Genomic DNA, 22616 nt, shown 5'->3' on the forward strand with positions numbered 1-22616 from the left:
AGCCTCCGTGGGTCCCACCCCTGCACCCATCACATGGTGTCTGGTCCCCCCTGCCTGCCTGGCTCACACCCCCCGCCTTCACCTACTGCCCTATTTTTATCCCTGGGACACCCCACTGGGCACTGCTCTTCCCTATCTTAAAAGACTTTCGGCCGGGCGCGGTGGCTCACGCCTGTAATCCCAGCACTTTGGGAGGCCGAGGCAGGCGGATCACAAGGTCAGGAGATCGAGACCATCCTGGCTAACACGGTGAAACCCCGTCTCTACTAAAAATACAAAAAAATTAGCTGGGCGTGGTGGCGGGCTCCTGTAGTCCCAGCTACTCCGGAGGCTGAGGCGGAGCTTGCAGCGAGCCGAGATCGCGCCACTGCACTCCATCCTGGGCAACAGAGCGAGACTCGTCTAAAAAAAAAAAAAAACTTTCACAGGCCTTGATCATCCCTTTTGTCAATCTAGTTAATGTCACCTCCTCAGAGAAGCCCTCCCTGAGCACCCCATCTGCAGTAGGTCACCCCCATCTTCCACCATCACTTTTCCTGGTGTTTCCGTCATAGCCCCCACCTCTATGGGGAGTTTTCTGCACTGATAGACTAGACTCCCTCCCCCACTCAGTGGCCAGCGTGTCTGTCTTCTCTGTCCCTGCACACAGCAAATGCTCAATGTTCACTTGTTGGCATGAATGAAACAGGAAGGCCCCTGAGGTGCTAGGACTGGGAGCCCTTCACCCCAGGTGAGGAAGGAGCCTTAGGGGGAGAGGACCCGAGTTAGTGCCCCCTCCCCACCCTGAGGGTCAGCCCGGGGCAGGGCTGGTCACTGCGCCTTGAGGAGCCTCTCCCCTATGCCCTTGATGGGTGGCCCGCAGGGGACGCGGCCGCACTCGGTCACCTGTGGTCCTGGAGCAGCCGCGCCCGGCGGGCGGCACTTAACGAAGGACAAACTCCAAAACCCAGGCCTCCAAAGGACCCATGGGAAGATCCGGGGGCTCAGGGGAGTGACCCCAAGCTGCGGGGGGTGACCCTCACCTGAGGCCTCTGGAGGCGCTGAGTGGGCCGGAAGCCGCGGGAGCCGCGGGACCCGCAGAGAGTGCCCGCCTGTGTTGGGGCAGCAGCGCCTGGAAGGAGGCGGCCCCGGCCGCCCGCAGAGCTCCGCCTCCCAGGCCGCGCTCTGTGTCTTTGTCCAGGCTGGGAGGGGCCGATGGCCGTTAAAAGCCCCGCCCGCCGCCGCTCGCCGCCGCCTGGCCCCACCCCCGTATCCATGGAGACCCGACGCCGCCGGACTGCCTGTCAGCTGCAGCTCGGTAGCCTGGGGCCCGCCCCGTTCGCCCGGTCTGTCTTCCGCGGGCCATGCTACCCAAGCTGACTCCGACTGGAGTCACTGGGATACCTGTCCACGCCTCCTCTCCTGGGCCACTTCCCTGCGGGGCGGGCAGTAGGGCAGGGCGGGGTGGGAATCTGTTGTACTCAGGGAAGGGAATTGCCCCCAGGCCCAGAGAGTTTGGAGCCTGGGGTACTGCCACCAACAGCCCAGAACTCTCCCAGCTGGGCACCACCCCCCCACACCCGCCGCCAGAGTCTTCCTGCAGCAAGGCTCTCTTCAGGAGGGGCTGTGAATGTTTCCCCGGGGTGGGGCTAAGCCAGAGCCCAGAGGTTAGCCCCTGGGGCACGGATCCCCCAGGTCACTCACTTCCCACGGGCTGCAGTGAAGGAGGCTCTGAGGGGAGGATGGCCGGTTTTTCCCCTGCAAGGGAAGGCATTCCTGCTCTGGGGACTGCCTCCCTCTCCCTCTTCTGCCAGCCACCGCAGAAACTTGGCCAAGCTGACCACTCTGTCAGTGATCTCTGCCAGGGAGGCTGAAAAACATCCAGCCCCACCCGTGGTCCCTTCCTGCCTCAGGCTATGTGACAGTATGACTGCCCACCTATTTCTTCGTTTCCACTGGAAACACTAGTAAAACAATTCCTCAGCCTCGACCCCAGGGAGTGGCCCCCACTAAACCAGCTGACGTGGGACCCCTGGGTCAATGCTGGCCAGAAGACACTGCTGACACCATACAGAGACCCTGGACACCTATGCCCCCTACAACCCTGGTAATGGTGGCCATGGGATTCCAAGCAGCACACATCTCGGAATCAATATTCTCCCCAACAAAAAATACATATGTGATTATCCCATGGCCACGTACCTAATCCTGGGGTAGAGAAAAGTACAGAGGAGGAAGCGCTCCATCATTGGAGCACAGCCCTTCCTCCTGGGGGTCCCACCTGTTCTTCCCCATCTGACAAAGTCTGCCTTCCTTGTGGAACCAAAGAGGGCTCAAAGGGAGCCAGCTGTTCCCACTTTTAATTTTTGACTGCCCAAGGACGGCGAGAAGTGAAGGCAGAAGACCACCATTCCTGCTCAGAACTCTTCCTGGGCTGGGGGTACCAGTGCCCTGCCATGGACATATGGGGCCTTGGCGTCATACTCTACCATATGGTGGCCGGGGCCCTACCCTTCTATTCAGGGAACACGATGGACCTCAAGAATCAAATTTTCACAGGAAGCTACCACGCCTCACCATTTTTTTTCCCTTCAACTTGAAAGATTCATTCAAAAGTTACTAACACTAGAACCCAGGGAGTGGCCCCCACTGAAAGAAGTTTTGAGGGACTGGTGGGTGAACTGTGGTTAGGAGATGCCACGGACAACATACAAAGAGCCATGAGCCAACATACCACCCAGCTCATGGTGGCCATGGGATTCCAGGCCAAGAACATCTCTGTGCCAATCAAAGAAAAAGCGTTTCACTATCCTATGGCCACCTACCTCATTTTAGAACAAACAAAAGAAGCAGTCCACCATCAGACCATGGTCCCTTCCTCCTGGGGTTCCCACCTGTCCTTCTCTATCCACTGAAGTTTCCACCTTCTCTCTCCCACTGAAGCAGGCTCACAGCGAGCCAGCTTGTCCCATATTCAGCATTCAGCAGAAGACCACTGTTCCTGCCAGTGCCCCTGCCAGCCTGCAGAGGAAGCCGGACAGTTTTGGCAAAGCCCCCCAGCGTGACGCTGTGGCCTCTACCTCCACCCACACCACCAGCAGCAGTGGCAGAGACCCAGAAACGTCCCTTGCCCAGCGACAATCATCACAGGAAGCCAGTGTTGTCCAAGCTGGACAGCCTGAGGCTGTGACATCAGCCTAGCCAACAAGAAACTGGGGCTGCCGCAGCCGGACGCAGTGGCTCATGCCTGTAATCCCAGCACTTTGGGAGGCCAAGGCGGGAGGATCACGAGGTCAGGAAATCGAGACCATCCTGGCTAACATGGTGAAACTCCATCTCTACTAAAAATACAAAAAATTAGCCAGGCTTGGTGGCGGGCACCTATAGTCCCAGCTACTCAGAAGGCTGAGGCAGGAGAGTGGCGTGAACCTGGGAGGTGGAGTTTGCAGTGAGCCGAGATTGTGCCACTGCACTCCAGCCTGGGGGACAGAGTGAGACTCCGTCTCAAAAAAAAAAAAAAAAAAAAAGAAAAGAAAAGAAACTGGGGCTGCCACAGGGCTGCCGGAGGACGCATCTTTCACTTCTATTAAGATTTTGCTGCATGTGTCCACCGAAGAAAAGGAGGAATAAGATTGCTCCAACATAGTTGCACAGATGAAGACAAAAATCAGCTAGGTGGGGTGGTGAAGCCTCACTTCTTGCATTTTACTATTTACTATTTATTCTGTCTCTTTTTTTTTTTTTTTTTGAGGCAGAGTCTCGCTCTGTCGCCCAGGCTGGAGTGCAGTGGCACAATCTTGGCTCACTGCAAGCTCCGCCTCCCGAGTTCACACCATTCTCCTGCCTCAGCCTCCCGAGTAGCTGGGACTACAGGCGCCCACCACCACGCCAGGCTAATTTTTGTATTTTTAGTAGAGATGGGGTTTCACCATGTTAGCCAGGATGGTCTCGATCTCCTGACCTCGTGATCTGCCCACCTCGGCCTCCCAAAGTGCTGGGATTACAGGCGTGAGCCACCGCGCCCGGCCAATTTCTTAGTCATATTTACATCCTTCTGTGTTTCTGAAAGTACACACAAAAACAAGATGGTGTTTGCTTCTGAAGGAATCAGATGGGGTTAGATGAGTAATTATGTTTACCCTTTGGAACAGCTTAAATGTTTTACCTTGCTGATATATTTCTTCTTCACACACACATACACACACACACACACAGTTTAAAAATCTAAGCCAGATATAAAAGACTATATGATTCATAATTTTCTAAATACTTTTTTTAATTTACAAAAATAGAAATAAAAATTTTTAAGATATATCATTCTATTTACATGACATTTTAGAAAAGTCTATTTACATGACTATAAAGGGACAGATGGCAGCTTTCTGGTTTGCCAGAAATGGTGGTTACATAACTGTATAAATTTGCCAAAACTTATTGAAAGACATACTTGTAAATAATACATTTTATTGTACATAAATTATGTCAATAAACAATGTTTTCAAAATATCAGTTATTGAAATGATGTGCACAGGCCAGGCATGATGGTTCACACCTGTAATCCCAGCACTTTGGGAATCCAAGGCACTTTGAGAAGCCGAGGCGGGCAGATCTTTTGAGGCCAGAAGTTCGAGACCAGCCTGGCTAAGTGAAACCCCAACTCTACTAAAAATACAAACATTAGCCCAGCATGGTGGTGCACAGTCCCAGCTACCTGGAAGGCTGAGGCACAAGAATCTCTTGAGCCTGAGAGGCGGAGGTTGCAGTGAGCCGAGATCATGCCACTGCACTCCAGCCTGGGCAACAGAGCAAGACTCCATCTCAAATAAAATAGAATTACGTGCACAAGAGCCGGGTGTGGTGTCTCACGCCTGTAATCCCAGCACTTTCGGAGGCTGAGGCAGGTGGATCACCTGAGGTCAGGAGTTTGAGACCAGCCTGGCCAATATGGCGAAACCCCATCTCTATGAAAAATATAAAAATTACCTGGGCGTGGTGGTGGGTGCCTGTAATCCCAGCTACTTGGGAGGCTGAGGCAGAAGAATTGCTTGAACCCAGCAGGCAGAGGTTGCAGTGAGCTGAGATCGTGCCACTGCACTCCAGCCTGGGTGACAAGAGTGAGACTCTGTCTCAAAGAAAAGAAACAAAAAATTATGTACACAAATATGGACAGCACTGGCAAGAAGTGTGGCAAAAACACATGTGGTTCTCTTGTTTTGGGCTCAGACATGTGGCTGTGCCATTACAGACCCCCGGGATTTAGAATCCTCCTTCTGAAAGGCGTCCTGTGCACTCGTGAGCACCAGCCTGAACAGATGAAAAGGCTGAGCTGGAGGGGCTGGGACACAGCCCACCTTGACGACAGCTGCTCCTGGCTGTGCGGGGGGGTCTCCAGGAAAGGCCATTCTCCCACTAGGATCGCCAGGCCCTACTGAGGCTCAAGCTCCTTTGCTGTTTGGAATCTTCCCTCCCCAGCCCCCCAGCCTCATCAAAGGCTGCCTTTTCCTGTTCACTGACCACAGCTGCTTTGACTCCATTAGCCTCGAGCTCCTGGAAGAAAAGGAAGAACGTTGTTTTCCCTGGGCTCAATGCCAAGAGACCGTGGGCAGTTGCTCAAGATTCACTTGTGAAACTCCGGATCCCAGGAGGAGGGAAGCTTGGGACAAATACCGAGCCTCCCACCCCCACTCCAACTCTGTTACTGAGCACTTTACGGAAGGAGCACGTAGGCCCCGCCACAGCTTCGGCAAGGGTGGACTGGGATAGATTCTGTGCTAATACAAACATCAGGCCTCCCTGCCAGACGGCCCACCCCATGGAGCCAGCCTGACACCAGGCCAGCCTCCAGCCACAACTGCAAGAGAAGGAGAGCCCAGAATAGCAGGCCCTCTTCAGTGAGCTTCAGCAGCTTCACCCACAGGTTGCAGGGTTTGGGTCCGCTGCCAGAAATAGCTCCCAGACCATCTTTGGTAATACAGACCTTTGCCTTAGTATTTACTACATCCAAATAGGCTTTATAGTAAGAGTTGTAAAACGATTGGTTTTGTTTTATTTTTCGTTTTTTTTTTGTTTGTTTGTGTTTTTTTTTTGAGACGGAGTCTCACTCTGTCGTCCAGGCTAGAGTGCAATGGCACGATCTTGGCTCACTGCAACCTATGCCTCCCAGGTTTAAGCAATTCTCCTGCCTCAGCCTCCCAAATAGCTGGGATTACAGATGCCTACAAGCATGCCTGGTTAATTTTTTGTATTTTAGTAGAGAGAGGGTTTGGCCATGTTGGCCAGGCTGGTCTCCAGCTGCTGACCTCAGGTAATCCACCTGCCTTGGCCTCCCAAAGTGCTGGGATTACAGGCATGAGCCAGCACGCCCAGCCTAAATTCAGCCTTTCATGCTTGTCTTGAGTTGTCCAATATTGGAAAATGCCAGCTCACACTGATGAGAAGCTCCTACTCTTTGGGGCTACCTATGAGCCCACTTTGAAATCCCGAGGTTGAAAGTCCTGAACATGAAAGATAAGCTGTCTGGCAAGTTAGGATGGGCATTGACGGGGAAATGCCTTACAGCTTGAGTAGTACTTTTTCACCTAACCACTTAAATGGTTATTATAAAACGGGACACTGAGAAATTAGAAGAGTGACTTAATCCCACCTGCTCAATTGAAGCTCCTCTGATAGGTGAATTTAATTAGGAAATTGTTACTTATGGTATCAATTACATGGTCAGCTCAAGCCTCAAATTTAGCCGACTTTAGTTTCAAAATCAAATGCAATTTTTTTTTTTTTTTTGAGACAGAGTCTCGCTCTGTCGCCCAGGCTGGAGTGCAGTAGTGCGATCTCGCCTCACTGTAAGCTCCGCCTCCTGGGTTCACGCCATTCTCCTGCCTCAGCCTCTCCGAGTAGCTGGGACTACAGGCACCCGCCACCACGCCTGGCTAATTTTTTTTTTGTATTTTTAGTAGAGACAGGGTTTCACTGTGGTCTCGATCTCCCAACCTCGTGATCCGCCCGCCTGGGCCTCCCAAAGTGCTGGGATTACAGGCGTGAGCCACTGCACCCGGCCTGCAAATTTTTTTTTTTTTTTTTTTTTTATACTTTAAGTTTTAGGGTACATGTGCACAATGTGCAGGTTAGTTACCTATGTATACATGTGACATGCTGGTGCGCTGCACCCACTAACTCGTCATCTAGCACTAGGTATATCTCCCAATGCTATCCCTCCCCCCTCCCCCCACCCCTGCAATTTTGTTTTTTAAAGAGCCTGGGCTCTTGCTATTGTGCCCCGGGCTGGCCTTGAACTCCTGGTCTCAAGGGATGCTCCCACCACAGCCTGCTGAGTAGCTGGGACTGCAGGCACGTGTCACTGTGCTCAGCTTTTTTTTTTTTTCCCCCCTTTGGTAGAAAAACTATTATTTGTAATCTTATGTTATGGAGAATAGTTTGACAACAGATTCATCTCTTCCTTTAGCCCTCTCCAACCTTCCAGCTAGAACCCCACCCCAAAGAACACAGGCAAAGATACATCAGCATCAATAATTTATTGCAAACTCCCTAATATCACATGCTAGTATGCTTGCGAATTCACTCACGAATGTTCTGGGATGGGGGCCAGAAGGTAGAGAGCACCATGAAAGTACAGCCTGTGAGGCCGGACTGCTGAGGGGCAGACTTCATGCCAATGGAGGGACAGACTTCAGGACCAGTCTGGATGGGCTAAGCTACCTTGGGCAGGAAGGAGCTGGGCCAGGCCAGGAGCCTGAGGTTCTCCTTTGGCCAACCCATCCCAGGTTTCCAGCCCCTCCTCCTCACTCAGGGTCCTGTGTGGTGAGGGAGGTGTCGGGAGGTTAGCGGCTCTACAGCTGCCAGGCTTGTGGCCACTACCAGTTGAGCGTGGGGCCCCTAGTCTAGTCCTTCACTGGGGAAAGCTAGGGCTTGGGCTTTCACTGCAGTATCTTCAGACAGGTCGGGATGAGGGATGAGGCCTTGCCCTTGGGGGGATGCCCGTCCTCTGTGGCATCGAGGAGCTGCTGCAGGTAACAGGAGGTGAAGCAGCACGTGGCCCGTGGCTTGCATGCTGAAAAGGGCCCAGTGGAGAGCTTCCCTGGGTGGAATGAGAGGGCACGCAAGTCAAAACCACGAAGTAGGTTGGGCGTAGTGGCTCATGCCTGTAATCCTAACACTTTGGGAGGCCGTGGTGGGTGAGTCACCTGAGGTCAGGAGTTTGAGACCAGTGTGGCCAACATGGTAAAACCCTGTCCCTACTAAAAACACAAAAATTAGTCAGGCCTGCTGGTGGGCGCCTATAATTCCAGCTACTTGAGAGCCTGAGGCAGGAGAATCGCTTGAACCCAGGAGGCGGAGGTTGCAGTGAGCTGAGATGATGCCACTGCACTCCAGCCTGGGTGACAGAGCAAGACTCTGTCTCAAAAAAACAAAACAAAACAAACAAACAAAAAAACCACCACCATCACCAACAACAACAAAACAAAGCTGGGCTCAGTGGCTCACGCCTGTAATCCTAGCACTTTAGGAGGCTGAGGCGGGCAGATCACTTGAGGTCAGGAGTTTGAGACCAGCCTGGCCAACATGGTGAAACCCCGTCTCTACTAAAAAATACAAATAAATTAGCCAGGTGAGGTGGCACACAGCTGTAATCTCAGCTACTTGGGAAGCTGAGGCATGAGAATCGCTTGAACCCGGGAGACAGAGGTTGAAGTGAGCTGAGATTGCACCACTGCGCTCCAGCCTGGGCAACAGAGCGTCTCAAAAACAAGTAAGAATAAAACATAAGTGTACACCTCCCTACAACCCATTATTCCCATGTTGGCCTGGAAGGGATTGGTTTCATTATGTTTGTTTTCTTCATTAATAACATTTGAATACCACTGAGGTGGTAGCACTAAAAGCATTTCATCAATTCTAGAGCAATGTGCAAATAGGAACAGATGCTGCAGATGGGATCAGGATTAGGGCGAGGACCTGCAATTCCACCTTAACTGAGATGCCCGGAACCTCCCTACTTTCTCATGCAAAACCCCAGCTCATTTCATATGGCTTTCTATTTTTCTACTACTACTTTGGTCCAGCCAGATTAATCTCCATAATGTGGCTCTGCCCTTGAGACACTCTGTTCTAGACTCTGAGGCCTTTCTAAGTCACCTGCAGTCTAGCTCATGTTCAGAGTGCTGGACATGAAGACATCCATGCCTGGCATGAGCATGTACTGAGAACTGAACCTGAATCAGGCAGGCCTAAGTCCTAATCCAGTCTTATTAGCTGGGTGAACTTCAGCAAACTGCTCTAGTTTTGAGCTTCAGCTCCCTCATGGGTAAAATGGGATTGCACCTGCCACCCAGGGTCATAAGGCTGAAATAGCATAAAGCAATTAACGTGGGGTTGGATATTTGAAAAGTAGGGGAAATGGGGAAGCGGGGGCAGGTTCAAGAGCAGCTGGTTGAATGCTAGACAACTTTGGCTAGGTGCACTGGCTCAGGCCTATAATTCCAGCATTTTGGGAGGCCGAGGAGGATGGCTTGAGGCCAGGAGTTTGAGACCAGCCTGGTCTAGTGAGACCTTGTCTCTACAAAAGTATTAAAGAACTAGCCAAGCATGGTAGCACACACTTGTGCTACTCAGGAGGATCACTTGAGCCTACGAGGTTAAGGCTGCAGTGAGCCATGATTGCACCACTGCACTGTAGCCTAGATGACAGAGTGAGACGCTGTCTCTAAAAAAATATAAAGAATGCTAGATAATTTTAATCAAATTCTTACCAAATCTGTTTGAAAGGGGAATGTGAGGGTCACTCGAGGTGTCTAGTCCTAAGTGAGATAGGGGAGTGGAAAATAAAAGGCAAAGAAATGTTACCTGGCTGTTGTTCAAACTTTAGTCTTTTATTAACATTCATTCAATAAGTGAATTTATGGTCTGACTGGGGTGTGGGTGGCAGAAAGACTTAGAACTATTCACATCTACACAAGAGAATACTTTATATTTTCAAGGTTATAACTTAGAAGTATACCCACTTCTCAAATTAAGGAACTGAGGCTGACAACCTAGCTGACCAGCCTTAAAAAGGAATGAAATTCTGAGGTCGGCCAGGCGTGGTGGCTCAGGCCTGTAATCCCAGCACTTTGGGAGGCCGAGGCGGGCGGATCACGAGGTCAGGAGATCGAGACCATCCTGGCCAAAACGGTGAAACCCTGTCTCTACTAAAAATACAAAAATTAGCCGGGCGTGGTGGCACGTGCCTGTAATCCCAGCTACTCGGGAGGCTGAGGCAGGAGAATCGCTTGAACCCGGGAGTCAGAGGTTGCAGTGAGCTGAGATCGTGCCATTGCACTCCAGCCTGGCGACAGAATGAGACTCTGTCTCAAAAAAAAAAAAAAAAAAGAAAAAAAGAAAGAAATTCTGAGGCCGGGCACGGTGGCTCACGCCTGTAATACCAGCACTTTGGGAGGCTGAGGTGGGCAGATCACAAGGTCAGGAGTTCAAGACCAACCTGGCCAGGATGGTGAAACCGTGTCTCTACTCAAAAAATACAAAAAAATTAGCCGGGCATGGTGGCGGGCTGCTCGGGAGGCTGAGGCTGCTTGAACCTGGAAGGCAGAGGTTGTAGTGAGCTGAGATCGCGCCACTGCACTCCAGCCTGGGTGACAGAGTGAGACTCCATCTCAAAAAAAAAAAAGGAATGAAATTCTGATCCATACTGCAATATGAACGACCCTTGAAAATCCGAAGTCAAGGAAGCTAGAAATGAAGAACGAGTATTGACTGACTCCAGTTCCATATGGTACTAGAATTGGCAAACATAGAAAGTGGAGTGGAGGCTACCAGTGTCTGGAGGAGGAATGGAGACTTAGTGCTTCAGGGGGACAGAGTTTCTGGTTAAGATGATGCAAGAGGTCTAGAAATGGATGGTGGTGATGGCTGGGCAACATTGTGAACGTACTTAATGGCACTGAATTGTACACTTAAAATGGTCCAAACAATAGATTTTATGCTATACATATTTACTATAATTAAAAAAAACCTAGTGATACCACTAAGTCACTAAACTGATTCCAGTCACCAGACTGTGTTTAGGTCGAAGTGTCCCACCTCCCCTAACTGGACTGAGTTTAAGGTCTGAGACCTTTTCTTTTTCTGAGACAGAGTCTTATTCTGTCGCCCAGGCTGGAGTACAATGGTGTGATCTCGGCTCACTGCAACCTTCACATTCCAGTTTCCAGTGATTCTCCTGCCTCAGCCTCCTGAGTAGCTGGGATTACAGCAGTGTGTCACCACGCCCGGCTAATTTTTGTATTTTTAGTAAAGACGGGGGTTTCACCTTGTTGCCCAGGCTGGTCTCGAACTCCTGACCTCAGGTGATTCACCTCCCTCGGCCTCCCAAAGTGCTAGGATTACAGGTGTGAGCCACTGCCCCCAGCTGGTCTGAAACTTCTTGTTCATAATTTTGAAATAATGCAGACTACTGGTGGTAGGTAGTCTGAGGTCAAGAGGTGGCATGAGATGGTAGTATCCTGGAAGAAGTAGCCGAGGAGGAAAATGGAACTCTCAGCCACAGAACCAGGCTCAAGCCTGCCACCCACTGTTGTCTCTGGCAAGCAGACCCACACAGCCTCAGTTTCCTCAACTGCAGATTGGGTCTGCAGGAGATCAACTAAGAAAGCAAGAAGGTCTGATATGTTCTAGCTACATGTGATCTGGTAGAACTCTTGGGATCCTGAGCAGGATTTCTCAGAAGCCCCATGTGAATAGAGATCGCCTGTGTCTTCATTTATTCTACAATCATTTAAATAACTACTATGTGTCAGCATTCACCAAGGTGCTGAAGGCCACAAAAATTCCTGCCCTCAGGGAACTTGTTCTATCTGGTATTTTGTTCATCTCTGAATCTGTAGTTACAGCATAGGGCCAGGCACACAGTGGGCACTCAGGAAACACTGAATGAAGGAACTGGAGAAGAATAGACTATCGGAAAGATGGACTAGCAGCCATGCTCTGCTGCTTGCAAGTTTTGCGGCTTTGGACTGATTCAATCACTTCAGCCTCAGTGGCTACATCCACCCAATGGGGAAGGATGCCCCAGGGCGCCACTGGAGCGGCAGAATTTGGGAAACATCACCATAACGGCATGCAGCTTCTAACCTCACATATTCTCATGCTTCCTGAGACACTTGGTTAGGCTTTCAAAATAAGTTTTAAGAAAAGTTCATTATATAGTACAAATGACTCTGGTCCATAAGACTTGCAAACTAATTCTGTCCTATGGAGGGAAGATTATTTCATCCCTCCCATCCCCATGGGAGAAAAAACCCAATTTTGTATGTATACATTTATCTCTTTTTTTCTTCTTTTTAGAGACAAGGCCTCATGCTGTTGCCCAGGCTGGAGTACACAATGGTATGGTCATATCTCACTGCAGCCTCAAACTCCTGGGCTCAGGCAATCCTCCCACCTAGCTGGGATTATAGGCACATACTACCACTGCTCCCAGCGTGCATGCCTCTCACTATGTTGCTCAGGCTGGTCTCAAACTGTGTGTGTGTGTGTGTGTGTGTGTGTGTGTATGTGTGTGTGTGTGTGTCTCTCTCTATGTTGCCCAGGGGTGTGTGTGTGTGTGTGTGTGCGCATGTGTCTCTCTCTCTCACTGTGTTGCCCAGGCTGGTCTCAAACTCCTGGGCTCAAGAGATCCTCCTGCCGTGTGTGTGTGTAAGTGTGTGTGTCTCTCTCTCTCTCTCTCACTATTGCCGAGGCTGGTCTCAAGCTCCTGGGCTCAAGAGATCCTCCTGCCTTGAACTCCCAAAGTGCTGGGATTCCAGGTGAGAGCTACTGCACCCAGCCTATCTCATCATTCTTACTGGACCTATATATGTGTGGGATTTTGAATTCTCCTTTGAACTGATTGTAACTTCTTGCTAGTTCTCTCATTAATTAATGAATTCAATGAAATCTTTGACACATACTTTTTTTTTTTTTTTTTGGTAAGACACTTGCTGTTTTGCCCAGGCTGGAGTGCAGTGACACAATCTCGCCTCACTGTCACCTCCACCTCCTGGGTTCAAACGATTCTCCTGCTTCAGGCTCCTGAGTAGTTGGGATTACAGGCATGCACTGCCATGTCCAGCTAATTTTTGTAGAGATTGGGTTTTGCCATGTTGGCCAGGCTGGTCTCAAACTCCTGACCTCAAGTGATCCACCCACCTTGGCCTCCCAAAGTGCTGGGATTAGAGGCGTGAGCCACTATGCCTGGCCAACACATGTTCATTTTTAAAAAACTGACTAGAAGACTACTTAGGAAAACTTCCTATTTCAATGAAAAAATGTAGTTGCTAGAGTGGAAAGTAGTCATAAAAATAAAATGCATCCAGGTTCCACCAGGAGGAACATGTGCACCCCTGGGCACACGCCAGTGTTGTCCACAGCACTTCGAGAGCCCATCAGGCTCCGTGTTGTCTGATACAGGCTATGCTTTGTCAGCACCAAAGCCAGACCCAGGTGCTGAGAAGGCTGAGTCCATGTGAACAGACAGGGGCTCTCCCATTGCCCGTACCCACCTTGTCCCCAGGAAACCCCAATTTGCTCACTTCATGATGCGTTTGGCCCCACAGCAGTGCAGATCATAGGAAAGGGAGTACGTATCATAAAAAGTCGCCTTCATGTTCAGGCAGCCAATGAAGTCCTGTGGGTTCAGCTTGTACAGGTCAAAGGTTACACGGGCCACATCAATCTTCTTGGCAGGCTTATGGGAGAGGGACTGTGGGTGCCTCGTCCCCTGCATCGAGACAACCAGATGGTTAGCACCCCTAAAGACTCTCTACTTACGCTTATGATAGGCTTATGACTACTGCATTCCAGCCTATTAGTCACCGCAGTGTTAGATAGTGGCGATGATTGCACAACTTTGTGAATATACTAAAAAACCCTGAATTGTAAACTTTTAGAGGAAGGAAACCATACCACAATTAAAAGGTAAATGTAACTTACATTATATTTTATTGGACAATATTTTTCTAGACTATGAACCCTGAAGCCAGGAGCCAAGAGGTACCCTGATAAAGTCTCTGGGTAGTGATTCCACAACAGAGGGCCTGGGCTCCAGTTCCACCTCATAGAGTCCAGCCCACTTGTTCTTTCCCTGGCAGCCAAGGAGCTATGAAGTGGGGCTTCCCAGACTGGCTCTGTGGCTCCATAGGGATGGCAGAAGCATCACTGACCTTATTCCCCAGCTTCAGCCTGGGCAACAGAGCAAGACAATGTTTCAAAAAAAAAAAAAAAAAAATTCTGACAGGTATTAAACCAAAGCTGAAAAATACATGAATAAAATATATTAGACTAGGTTTGGGGATAGAATGTGTGTAAAAAATGGTTCTCGAACTTGAAGAATATACTACTGACTTTTTGGAAAGGAGAAGACATAGATTCTTAAGAATATGGAACTCTGGTTTGAGAGGTACCGAGTTTAAAGTTTTATTCTAAGACAATGTCATTTAGGCCTGGTACAGTGGCTCACACTTATAATCCCAGCACTTTGGGAGGCTGAGATGGGAGGATCCCTTGAGCCCAGGAATTTGAGACCAACTGGGCAACATAGTGAGACCCTGTCTCTGCCAAAAATAAATAGATGTCTTTCAGTTACAAATTACAAAGCTTTATCTTTATAACAGTACAAGGACTTATTTTTAGATATTCACAAAAATAAAAATACAAAATTAAAAATTTCTTGCGGAATTTGCAAACTTCAGATAACACAGATATTGAGTGTTTAGAAAATACAGGATAATTTAAGATTGCTTATTTAGGGTCTTAAAATACCTCAGGGTCATGATATTCAACTCCATTTCTACAAAACTATTCAGCAGCGTAAATATAGGAGAGCTAGATGAATTTCTTTTGATTACACTGCCTGGAAAAGTCTTGAATTATCGTAGACTGAACAAGTGTTTTTTCGTTTGTTTTTCTGGAGACAGGGTCTTGCTTTGTCACCCAGGCTGGACCAAAAAGGTCGAGGCTGCAGTGATTGAGGCTGCAATCGCAGTGGTGCGATCATGGCTCACTTCAGCCTCGAACTCCCGGGCTCAAGTGATCCTCACACCTCAGCCTCCCGAGTAGCTGGGACTACAGGCACACACCACTGCACCTGGCTAATGTTTAAATTTTTTTGTAGAGACAGTGGTCTCATTGTGTTGCCCAGGCTGGTCTTGAACTCCAGGGCTCAAGCGATCCTCCCACCTCAGCCTCCCAAAGTATTGAGATTACAGGTGAGAGCCACCACGCCTGGCTGTGAACAAGTTTTTTGATGGCCTACCATGTGCCTTGCACTCTGCTGCATGCTATGGGGTATAGAGTAAGGCAAGGTCATGACCCTGCGCTCAGAGTTTCTGTTCAAGTGATAAAATATGCAAACGGAAAAATAATAGATACTTAATCTAGTGCAACAAGAGCGAAACTCCGTCTCAAAAATTAAATTAAGTTAAATTAAATAAATAAATAAATACTGCAATGAAGTATGTGAGGAAGTTGCCTCCACCCTAGGAAGGGAAATGATAATTACAATTCCTTACATGTCTAACAGCAGTGTTACAGATTGCAAAGCGCTTTGGTGCTTAGCATCTCAGCTAACCATTGGAACAGTAATTTGGTAGAATGCAGATTATCACACTCACTTGACTGGATGTTACAAATACTAAAAGCTATAAAGCACCAGGCACTCTTCCCAACGAAAGGGTGGGATGGGATAGTTCATAGGTAAACCCACCGAGGGTTGGCGACTAACCTAAAGGATTAACAGCACCGTTTTTGTTTTTTGTTTTTAACACTCAATACGTCCTAGATCCTGTGCTAAGGGATTTACAGACATCATCTAATTTGATTCCCACCTGTCTATGAGGGAGGTACTGTTATTATCCCCATTTCACAGAGGACAAAAGTGAAACACAGAGGTAACGGGTAAGGTCACCTTGCCAGTGGGGGCGAGACGTGAACCTAGGCAAACTGACACAACGCCTGCACTTTCTTGTCCAAGGTCACGGCGGTGTGAGGTAGGCTGGGGAAGGGAGGGCGCTGACCTGTCAGATACTTGTTCCTGGGTGAGCTTCTTGTCGCTCTCCAGCAGGATGGACACGTAGTGGCGGATCATGTCTACGAAGAGTGATAACGATGGGTAGGACCACCCAGAGGCAGATGTTGGAGTCAAGCAACAGTTCTGGCCCTGCCATCTTCACTGAAAGCTGGCTCCCAGCCGGTGATGGGCGAGCTTCTCTTCACCGGGGCGCAGTTGCTTCTCTCTGACGTCGCCTCTGGGCCTTCTCTCGCCCCTATGCCCGGCTAGCACAGAACTCTGCTGCAGCGGTGAGCCCAGCTTATTGCCTTCAGCTGGGCTGCCCGGCCTTCCACTTCCGGCGCGGAAGTTGGCGTCACGTCATGGCGCGCCTCGGTGGCGTCAGAGCGGCGTCGGGCCTGGCGGGAAAGTCGAAAACTACGGGCGGCGACGGCTTCTCGGTGAGTAAGTGGAGCAATGGTCGTAGTCTCTCGAGGCCCCGCTCCCCTGCGGCCTAATCTCTAAGTCCGGGCCGCGGTCGGCGTTCTCCTCTGGGGCTCCGCGCCCCGAACCTTGGCTTCCTCATCTGCCCTGAGATGGGATAATCCCCACAGGTACCTTTCTGCGTCATTAAAATGCGGAAACGAGAAAGGCTTTTACCCTCACCCGCTTCCCGATGAACTAATCCAGGCAGTCGGCCTCATCTCACTTCTGTTGGGCTTTTCTGGAAGCCAGATGGTATCGCACGTGTTAAAGGCGGGTGCCTGGAAGCCGGACGTGCTGACAAGACTTAGTTTTTCCATCTGCAAGATGGCTGATAATGGTTATCCGTATTAACCGAAGCGGCGATAAATAAAAAGTTTAGCACAGGGCCCGGTACCTCGTAAATGTTAACCATTATTAGAAGTCATTATAATCATCAAGAGTAAGTATAGGTGGTGAAGAGCGCAGGTGCTGAAGCCAGACTCCGAGTTAGAATCCCAGTTCTGCCCGTGATGATGAGAATAATGGTACCCACCTCAAAAAGTTTTGTGGGAAATAAATGAATTATTAAATATAAAGCACTTGAAACAGTTCTTGTTAGCTTTTAGCATTTCCCCTGCACTGCGAGCTTTTTTCACTCTGAATATTCTCAGAAATTTTCCTTATGCCGGTAACTATGCTGGGCATTAGGGACATTGAGTAAGTGAGACTGGGTTCCTGCTCTCAAAGAGCCCCAGTCTAGTGTGAGGTAAGGGCCCCTAGGTATACCCTGTGGAGCAGGGAAGCTGCAGTAGCAAACTCCCTTAGGGATAGGAGGAACACTTTTCAAGGAAGATGACATTCGATTGAATGTTTAGATCTGAGTAGGAATTTCCAGGCAAATAAGAGCACTTCAGATGAAAAGAACACCTTTGTGCAAAGGCACTGAGACCACGAAGGTTCTGATTTACAAGATTAAAAGGTCATGTGATTCAGGCACTTCCCCCACCTCTGCTGTCTGATTTCTAACTCCACATCTCCTTGTTTCAGTATGAGTATCTATTTGCCTGGACTCCTCTTCTCCTACCCCTTCTACTGGCTAACTGCTGTTTCAGCCCTCAAGTCCCTGCCTAAAAATCACTTCTTCAGGCCGGGCGCGGTTGGCTCACGCCTGTAATCCCAGCACTTTGGGAGTCCGAGGCGGGCGGATTATGAGGTTATGAGATCAAGACTATCCTGGGTAACACGGTGAAACCCCGTCTCTACTAAAAATACAAAAAATTAGCCGGGCGTGGTGGCGGGCGCCTGTAGTCCCAGCTACTTGGGAAGCTGAGGCAGGAGAATGGTGTGAACCCGGGAGGTGGAGCTTGCAGTGAGCCGAGGCTGCACCACTGCACTCCAGCCTGGGTGACAGAGTGAGACTCCGTCTCAAAAAAAAAAAAAAAAAAAATCACTTCTTTAGGCCGGGCGGCTCACACCTGTAATCCCAGCACTTTGGGAGGCCGAGGTGGGTGGATCACTTGAGGTCAGGAGTTTGAGACCAGCCTAGCCGACATGGTGAAACCCTGTCTCTACTAAAAAAAAAAAAAAAAAAATTCAAGGAGATTGTCCCTAAGAAATGGTCCTTGCTTCTCTTTACCACCCTTACTAGCAACTAGACTAAATTTCCTAGTAAGCCCTCATAGAACCTGTACTTTTATAGCACTTACATAACTGTAGTTCAGTACATTAAGGCTATTTGTTACCATACTGTAAATTCCCTGAGGACAGGGATCATGTCTGTCTAGTTCACAGTTGTAACCCCAGCACCTAGCACAGTCCCTAACATATAGTATTGAAATCATGAATTAAAGGACAGGTACGTTGGGGATAGATAATGGAGGGTCTTGAATCTCAGATGGAGAGTGATGGGTTTTATCCTTCAGCAACAGCGAAGTAGTCTGCCTAAAGAGGTAACTAAGACTTGAAAGGAAGGTAGTATTGGCTAGATGTAAGAGTTGAAATTTGCTTAGCACCTAGGTTTAGGTAGCATTAATATGGAGATGTGAGCCCCTCTGATTTTGGATAGAGCAGTTTTCTTTGAACAATAGCTTTAACTTCTCAGAATTTATCTTCTAGAGGGTAACTTCTGTTTCCCGATTTTGCTCTAGGAAGTAATTTAAGTGCACAAGACATTGGTCAAAATGGTTTCCAAAAGAAGACTGTCAAAATCTGAGGATAAAGAGAGCCTGACAGAAGATGCCTCCAGTAAGTATCTAGTCATTTGTTGCTTTATTTCCTGTAGCAATGTGTGAGGCATGTGAGAGATATAAAGTTCCTGCTTTTCAAGTGCTGAGAATCTTCAAAGTGTAATGAATGGAGTGCACAGAATTAAGGGAGAAATATCAGATTTGGGACTGAGTTTTTGCCTCGAATTCTGCGTATAACTTTGAGTATGACCACAGCCTCTGGACCTCAGTCTCCACATCCATAAGAGGAATTAGTGTTACAGACTTTTTCTGCTATACATCATTTAGGTGTTGAGACACAAAGACATAACATAGTCTGTACCCTTAAAAAACTTTATGGTCTTTCTTCCTCTCTTGGAAAAAAAATATTATGATCTAGACACATGCTATGTTAGTGATGTGAAAGGAAAAATACATCAAAGCAAGCAAACCAGAGGCAAAGAAACAGTGCAGACTCTGCCCATATGAGAAATAGTTGACAAAGATCCCAAGAGTTCCAGATATAAGGAGTTGATGGCTGGGTGCTATCGCTCACACCTGTAATCCAAGCACTTTGAGGGGCTAAGGTGAGAGGGTCACCTAAAGCTAGGAGTTCAAGACCAGCCTGGGTAACATAGCGAGACTCCATCTCTACAAAAAATTTTTTTAATTAGCTGGGCATGGTGGTTTGTGCCTGTGGTCCCAGCTACTGAGGAGGCTGAAGTGGAAGGATCACTTGAGCTCAGGAGGTCGAGGGTGCAATGAGTCAATAACAGCACCACTGCACTCCAGCCTAGGCGACAGAGCAAGAGAGACCATGTCTCAAAAAGGGAGTGGGGGGCGGGGAGGTTGATAGTTCATTTATTGCTCTTATCTACTCTATTAATCTTGATTTGTGTTGGTTTGTTTTTATTTTACTAGGTTTTTTGGGAACAGGTGGTGTTCGGTTACATAAATAAGTTCTCTAGTGGTGATTTCTGAAATTTTGGTGCACCTGTCACCCGAAAAGTGTATGGTGTACCCAATGTGTATTTTTTCAATCCCTAACCCCCCTTCCACCCTTTCTCTTGAGTATCCAAAGTCCATTATATCATTCTTGTTGTTGTTGTTGTTGTTGTTTGAGACGGAGTCTCACTCTGTCACCCAGGCTGGAGTGCAGTGGCACAATCTCGGCTCACTGCAACCTCCACCTCCCAGGTTCAAGCGATTTTCCAGCCTCAGTCTCCCGAGTAGCTGGGATTACAGGCGCCAGCCACCATGCCCGGCTGATTTTTTTGTATCTTTAGTAGAGACGGGGTTTCACCATGCTGGCCAGGGGCTGTCTGGAACTCCTGACCTCAAGTGATCCATCCATCTCGGCCTCCCAAAGTGCAAGGATTACAGGCTTGAGCCACCACGCCTGGCCCATTATATCATTTTTTTTTTTTTTTTTGAGATGGAGTTTGGCTCTTGTTGCCCAGTCTGGAGTGCAGTGGCACAATCTTGGCTCACTGCAACCTCCGCCTCCCGGGTTCAAGCGATTCTCCTGGCTCAGCCGCCCAAGTAGCTGGGATTACATGTACATGCCATCATGCCTGGCTAATTTTTGTATTTTTAGTAGAGAAGGGGTTTCACCGTGTTAGTCAGGCTGGTCTCAAACTCCTGACCTCCGGTAATCCACCCACCTCAGCCTCCCAAAGTGCTGGGATATCGGACGTGAGCCACCATGCCTGGCCTCATTATGTCATTCTTAATGCCTTTGCATTCTCATAGCTTAGCTTCTACTGACTTGTGGATTGAAGAGTTATTTCTTACTAGGTTATTGGAAGTTAAGTCTGATTCTTGGTCAATTCAACCGAAATAGATGAAAATGCTTGCTGAACAGTGATTATAATGATAAAAATTGTGAGTCCAAAACCATGTAAGGAATAGGCTTGATTTAGAAACGGAAACTGTGGGCCGGGCACAGTGGCTCACACCTGTAATCCCAGCACTTTGGGAGGCCAAGGCGGGCAGATCACCTGAGGTCAGGAGTTCAAGATCAGCCTGGCCAACATAGTGAAACCCCATCTCTACTAAAAATACAAAAATTAGCTGGGCGTGGTGTCACGTGTCTGTAATCTCAGCTACTCGGGAGGCTGAGGCAGGGGAATTGCTTGAACCCCGGAGGTGGAGGTTGCAGTGAGCTGAGATCACGCCACTGCCCTTCAGCCGGGGCAACAGAGCAAGACTCTTATCTCAAAAAAAAAAGGAAGTTGTGAAGCTCCAATGGTTGATTAGTAATGGGGTTCTAGAATTAGAATATAGAGAAATTGGTAGAAAATTTGAAACTGAAGAGGAATAATATAGGAAATTACTGAAAGTAAATGTTATACTTTGGAAATACTGTTCTCCAAAAGAGAAGAGACTTCTGAATTAAGTTTATTAGAAGGGATTTGGGTTCTCTTGGTCAGTAATGAACAAACTGAAACTTTCATTCTGGTTGTGTTTTACATTTCATTCAGGAAGGTAGTGGTCTTTGTCTCATTCTGATTAAGGCTTTATTAGAAAGAGGGAAAGGAGGCCAGGCACGGTGGCTCACGCCTGTAATCCCAGCACTTTGGGTGGCCAAGGCGGGCAGATCACGAGGTCAGGAGATTGAGACCATCTTGGCTAACATGGTGAAACCCCGTCTCTACTAAAAATACAAAAAATTAGCCGGGCGTGGTGGTGTGCACCTGTAGTCCCAGCTACTGGGAGGCTGAGGCAGGAGAATGGCATGAACCCGGGAGGCGGAGCTTGCAGTGAGCCAAGATCGCGCCACTGCACTCCAGCCTGGGCGACAGAGCAAGACTCCATTTCAAAAAAAAAAAAAAAAGAAAGAGGGAGAGGAATTGAAGAAGGAAAAAACAAAATGGCATCATTAAGGGAGAAGAGTAAATTTTAAACTTGGCTTCAAGTACCTGTTTGTTTCTTGTTTCTTATTTCTTTTTATGGGTTGAAAGTCTTGGGATTAAACCTATCTGAGCATTGTAGTCAAAGATATGATACAAAGAACCTTCCCCATTCTGTCTACCCTTTATTCAGATCATTGAGTCTCAAATTTGGTGTGTATCAGGATTATTATCTGAAGAACATAAAAAATTCGGATTCCTAGGTCCCATTCCCAAGATTTTGACTCAGTAACTCTGGTATATGGCATGGAATATGCCTTTTTTTTCCTTTGAGACAGAGTGTCACTCTGTTGCTCAGGCAGGAGTGAAGTGGCGCGATCTGGGCTCACTGCAACCTCTGCCTCCCGGGTTCAAGTGATTCTCCTCCTCAGCCTCCCGAGTAGTTGGTATTACAGGCGCACGCCACCACACCCAGTTAATTTTGTATTTTTAGTAGAGATGGGGTTTCACCACGTTAGCCAGGCTGGTCTTGAACTCCTGACCTCAGGTAATCAGCCTGCCTCGGCCTCCCAAAGTGCTGGGATTACAGGCGTGAGCCACTGTGCTGGGTCGGAAATATGCATTTTAATAAGCTTCCCAGGGATTCCAGTACAGTGGTTTGCAGGCAACAGCTTGAGAGACACTGGCTAGTTTAGTATTTGGGTGGAAAACATTTCTGTGGGTTATTCTTGTTAGGCACTTATTTGTTTGAATTTATTTTTTTAGAGATGGGGATTTCACTCTGTCACCCAGGCTGGAGTGCAGTGGTAATATCATAGCTCACTATAGCCTCAACCTCCTGGGCTCAAGTTATTCTTCCGCCTTAGCCTCCGAAGTAGCTGGGACTACAGGTGTGCGTCTCCTCACCTAACTAGTTTGTGTGTGGAGGGGGGGAATGGGGGTGAAGGGGGGGAGATGGGGGGGTGGTCTCACTTTGTTGCCCAGGCTGGTCTTGAACTCCTGGCTTCAAGTGATCCTCCTGCCTTGGCCTCCTAATTTGCTGGGATTACCACATGAGCCACCTTGCCTGGCCAGAAATGGCAC

The 22616-nt window shown here is 48.6% G+C and overlaps 2 protein-coding genes and 2 pseudogenes across 10 annotated transcripts in view, besides 12 other annotated features; 2 read left to right on the plus strand and 2 right to left on the minus strand.

Annotated features, from left to right (window-relative positions):
• The window catches only part of EMC3 (ER membrane protein complex subunit 3), a 48437-nt gene extending 47319 nt beyond the window's left edge, over positions 1 to 1118 (minus strand). For all 3 annotated transcript variants that reach the window (NR_148535.2, NM_018447.4, XM_005265321.4), the window contains exon 1: positions 1023 to 1118. The gene's annotated coding sequence lies outside the window, so the exon portion shown is untranslated. The remainder of the gene's footprint in view (positions 1 to 1022) is intronic.
• Positions 1119 to 1348: a silencer, noted in NCBI's record as "silent region_14054". NCBI's record gives its function as "represses an Ori minimal core promoter by ATAC-STARR-seq in GM12878 lymphoblastoid cells {active_cell/tissue: GM12878}" and the evidence as "EXISTENCE:reporter gene assay evidence [ECO:0000049][PMID:35858748]".
• Positions 1119 to 1672: a biological region, named in NCBI's record as "H3K4me1 hESC enhancer GRCh37_chr3:10052831-10053356".
• Positions 1147 to 1672: an enhancer, noted in NCBI's record as "H3K4me1 hESC enhancer chr3:10052831-10053356 (GRCh37/hg19 assembly coordinates)". NCBI's record gives its function as "activates a minimal SCP1, AML or CMV promoter by ChIP-STARR-seq in primed H9 embryonic stem cells {active_cell/tissue: H9 hESC(primed)}" and the evidence as "EXISTENCE:reporter gene assay evidence [ECO:0000049][PMID:30033119]".
• On the plus strand, positions 2384 to 3133 carry MARK2P2 (MARK2 pseudogene 2; annotated as a pseudogene).
• CIDECP1 (CIDEC pseudogene 1) lies at positions 7553 to 16136 on the minus strand (annotated as a pseudogene). Its single transcript, NR_002786.1, has 3 exons — positions 16041 to 16136; positions 13560 to 13747; positions 7553 to 8071 (listed from the first exon to the last, which is right to left on the minus strand). The product of NR_002786.1 is annotated as a CIDEC pseudogene 1 (transcript).
• Positions 14628 to 15264: an enhancer, noted in NCBI's record as "H3K4me1 hESC enhancer chr3:10066312-10066948 (GRCh37/hg19 assembly coordinates)". NCBI's record gives its function as "activates a minimal SCP1, AML or CMV promoter by ChIP-STARR-seq in primed H9 embryonic stem cells {active_cell/tissue: H9 hESC(primed)}" and the evidence as "EXISTENCE:reporter gene assay evidence [ECO:0000049][PMID:30033119]".
• Positions 15900 to 16535: an enhancer, noted in NCBI's record as "H3K27ac hESC enhancer chr3:10067584-10068219 (GRCh37/hg19 assembly coordinates)". NCBI's record gives its function as "activates a minimal SCP1, AML or CMV promoter by ChIP-STARR-seq in naive and primed H9 embryonic stem cells {active_cell/tissue: H9 hESC(naive and primed)}" and the evidence as "EXISTENCE:reporter gene assay evidence [ECO:0000049][PMID:30033119]".
• FANCD2 (FA complementation group D2) overlaps positions 16437 to 22616 on the plus strand; it is a 75496-nt gene continuing 69316 nt past the window's right edge. For 4 of the 6 annotated variants that reach the window (NM_001018115.3, NM_001374253.1, NM_033084.6 and 1 more), the window contains exons 1-2: positions 16437 to 16473; positions 18625 to 18721. In NM_001018115.3, coding sequence (NP_001018125.1) covers positions 18658 to 18721 — 64 coding nt within the window. In that variant the 5' untranslated portion in view covers positions 16437 to 16473; positions 18625 to 18657. Of the gene's footprint in view, positions 16627 to 18624; positions 18722 to 22616 lie in introns of all 6 variants that reach the window. The other 2 variants (NM_001319984.2, NM_001374255.1) reach the window with 1 other exon arrangement.
• Positions 16536 to 17170: an enhancer, noted in NCBI's record as "H3K27ac hESC enhancer chr3:10068220-10068854 (GRCh37/hg19 assembly coordinates)". NCBI's record gives its function as "activates a minimal SCP1, AML or CMV promoter by ChIP-STARR-seq in naive H9 embryonic stem cells {active_cell/tissue: H9 hESC(naive)}" and the evidence as "EXISTENCE:reporter gene assay evidence [ECO:0000049][PMID:30033119]".
• Positions 20947 to 21850: a meiotic recombination region, noted in NCBI's record as "meiotic double-strand break mapped by DNA meiotic recombinase 1 chromatin immunoprecipitation followed by single-stranded DNA enrichment and sequencing in the germ cells of some male individuals with the PRDM9 A/A genotype". NCBI's record gives the evidence for it as "EXISTENCE:chromatin immunoprecipitation-seq evidence [ECO:0000229][PMID:25395542]".
• Positions 20947 to 22616: part of a biological region, named in NCBI's record as "3p25 FANCD2 Alu-mediated recombination region", that runs on past the window's edge. NCBI's record gives its function as "recombination_partner: LOC107303341 | LOC107303342".
• Positions 21211 to 21223: a nucleotide motif, noted in NCBI's record as "nucleotide motif; similarity to the predicted 13-mer PRDM9 A binding motif (LD hotspot motif), CCNCCNTNNCCNC".
• Positions 21222 to 21521: a mobile genetic element, noted in NCBI's record as "direction; forward".
• Positions 21264 to 21276: a nucleotide motif, noted in NCBI's record as "nucleotide motif; similarity to the predicted 13-mer PRDM9 A binding motif (LD hotspot motif), CCNCCNTNNCCNC".
• Positions 21452 to 21481: a non allelic homologous recombination region, noted in NCBI's record as "AluY recombination sub-region a, recombines with the AluYm1 recombination sub-region within the 3p25 interleukin 1 receptor associated kinase 2 Alu-mediated recombination region". NCBI's record gives the evidence for it as "EXISTENCE:nucleotide sequencing assay evidence [ECO:0000219][PMID:19280651]".

The sequence above is a fragment of the Homo sapiens genome, chromosome 3, assembly GCF_000001405.40.
Source record: "Homo sapiens chromosome 3, GRCh38.p14 Primary Assembly".
In the NCBI taxonomy this organism is placed as follows: Eukaryota; Metazoa; Chordata; class Mammalia; order Primates; family Hominidae; genus Homo; species Homo sapiens.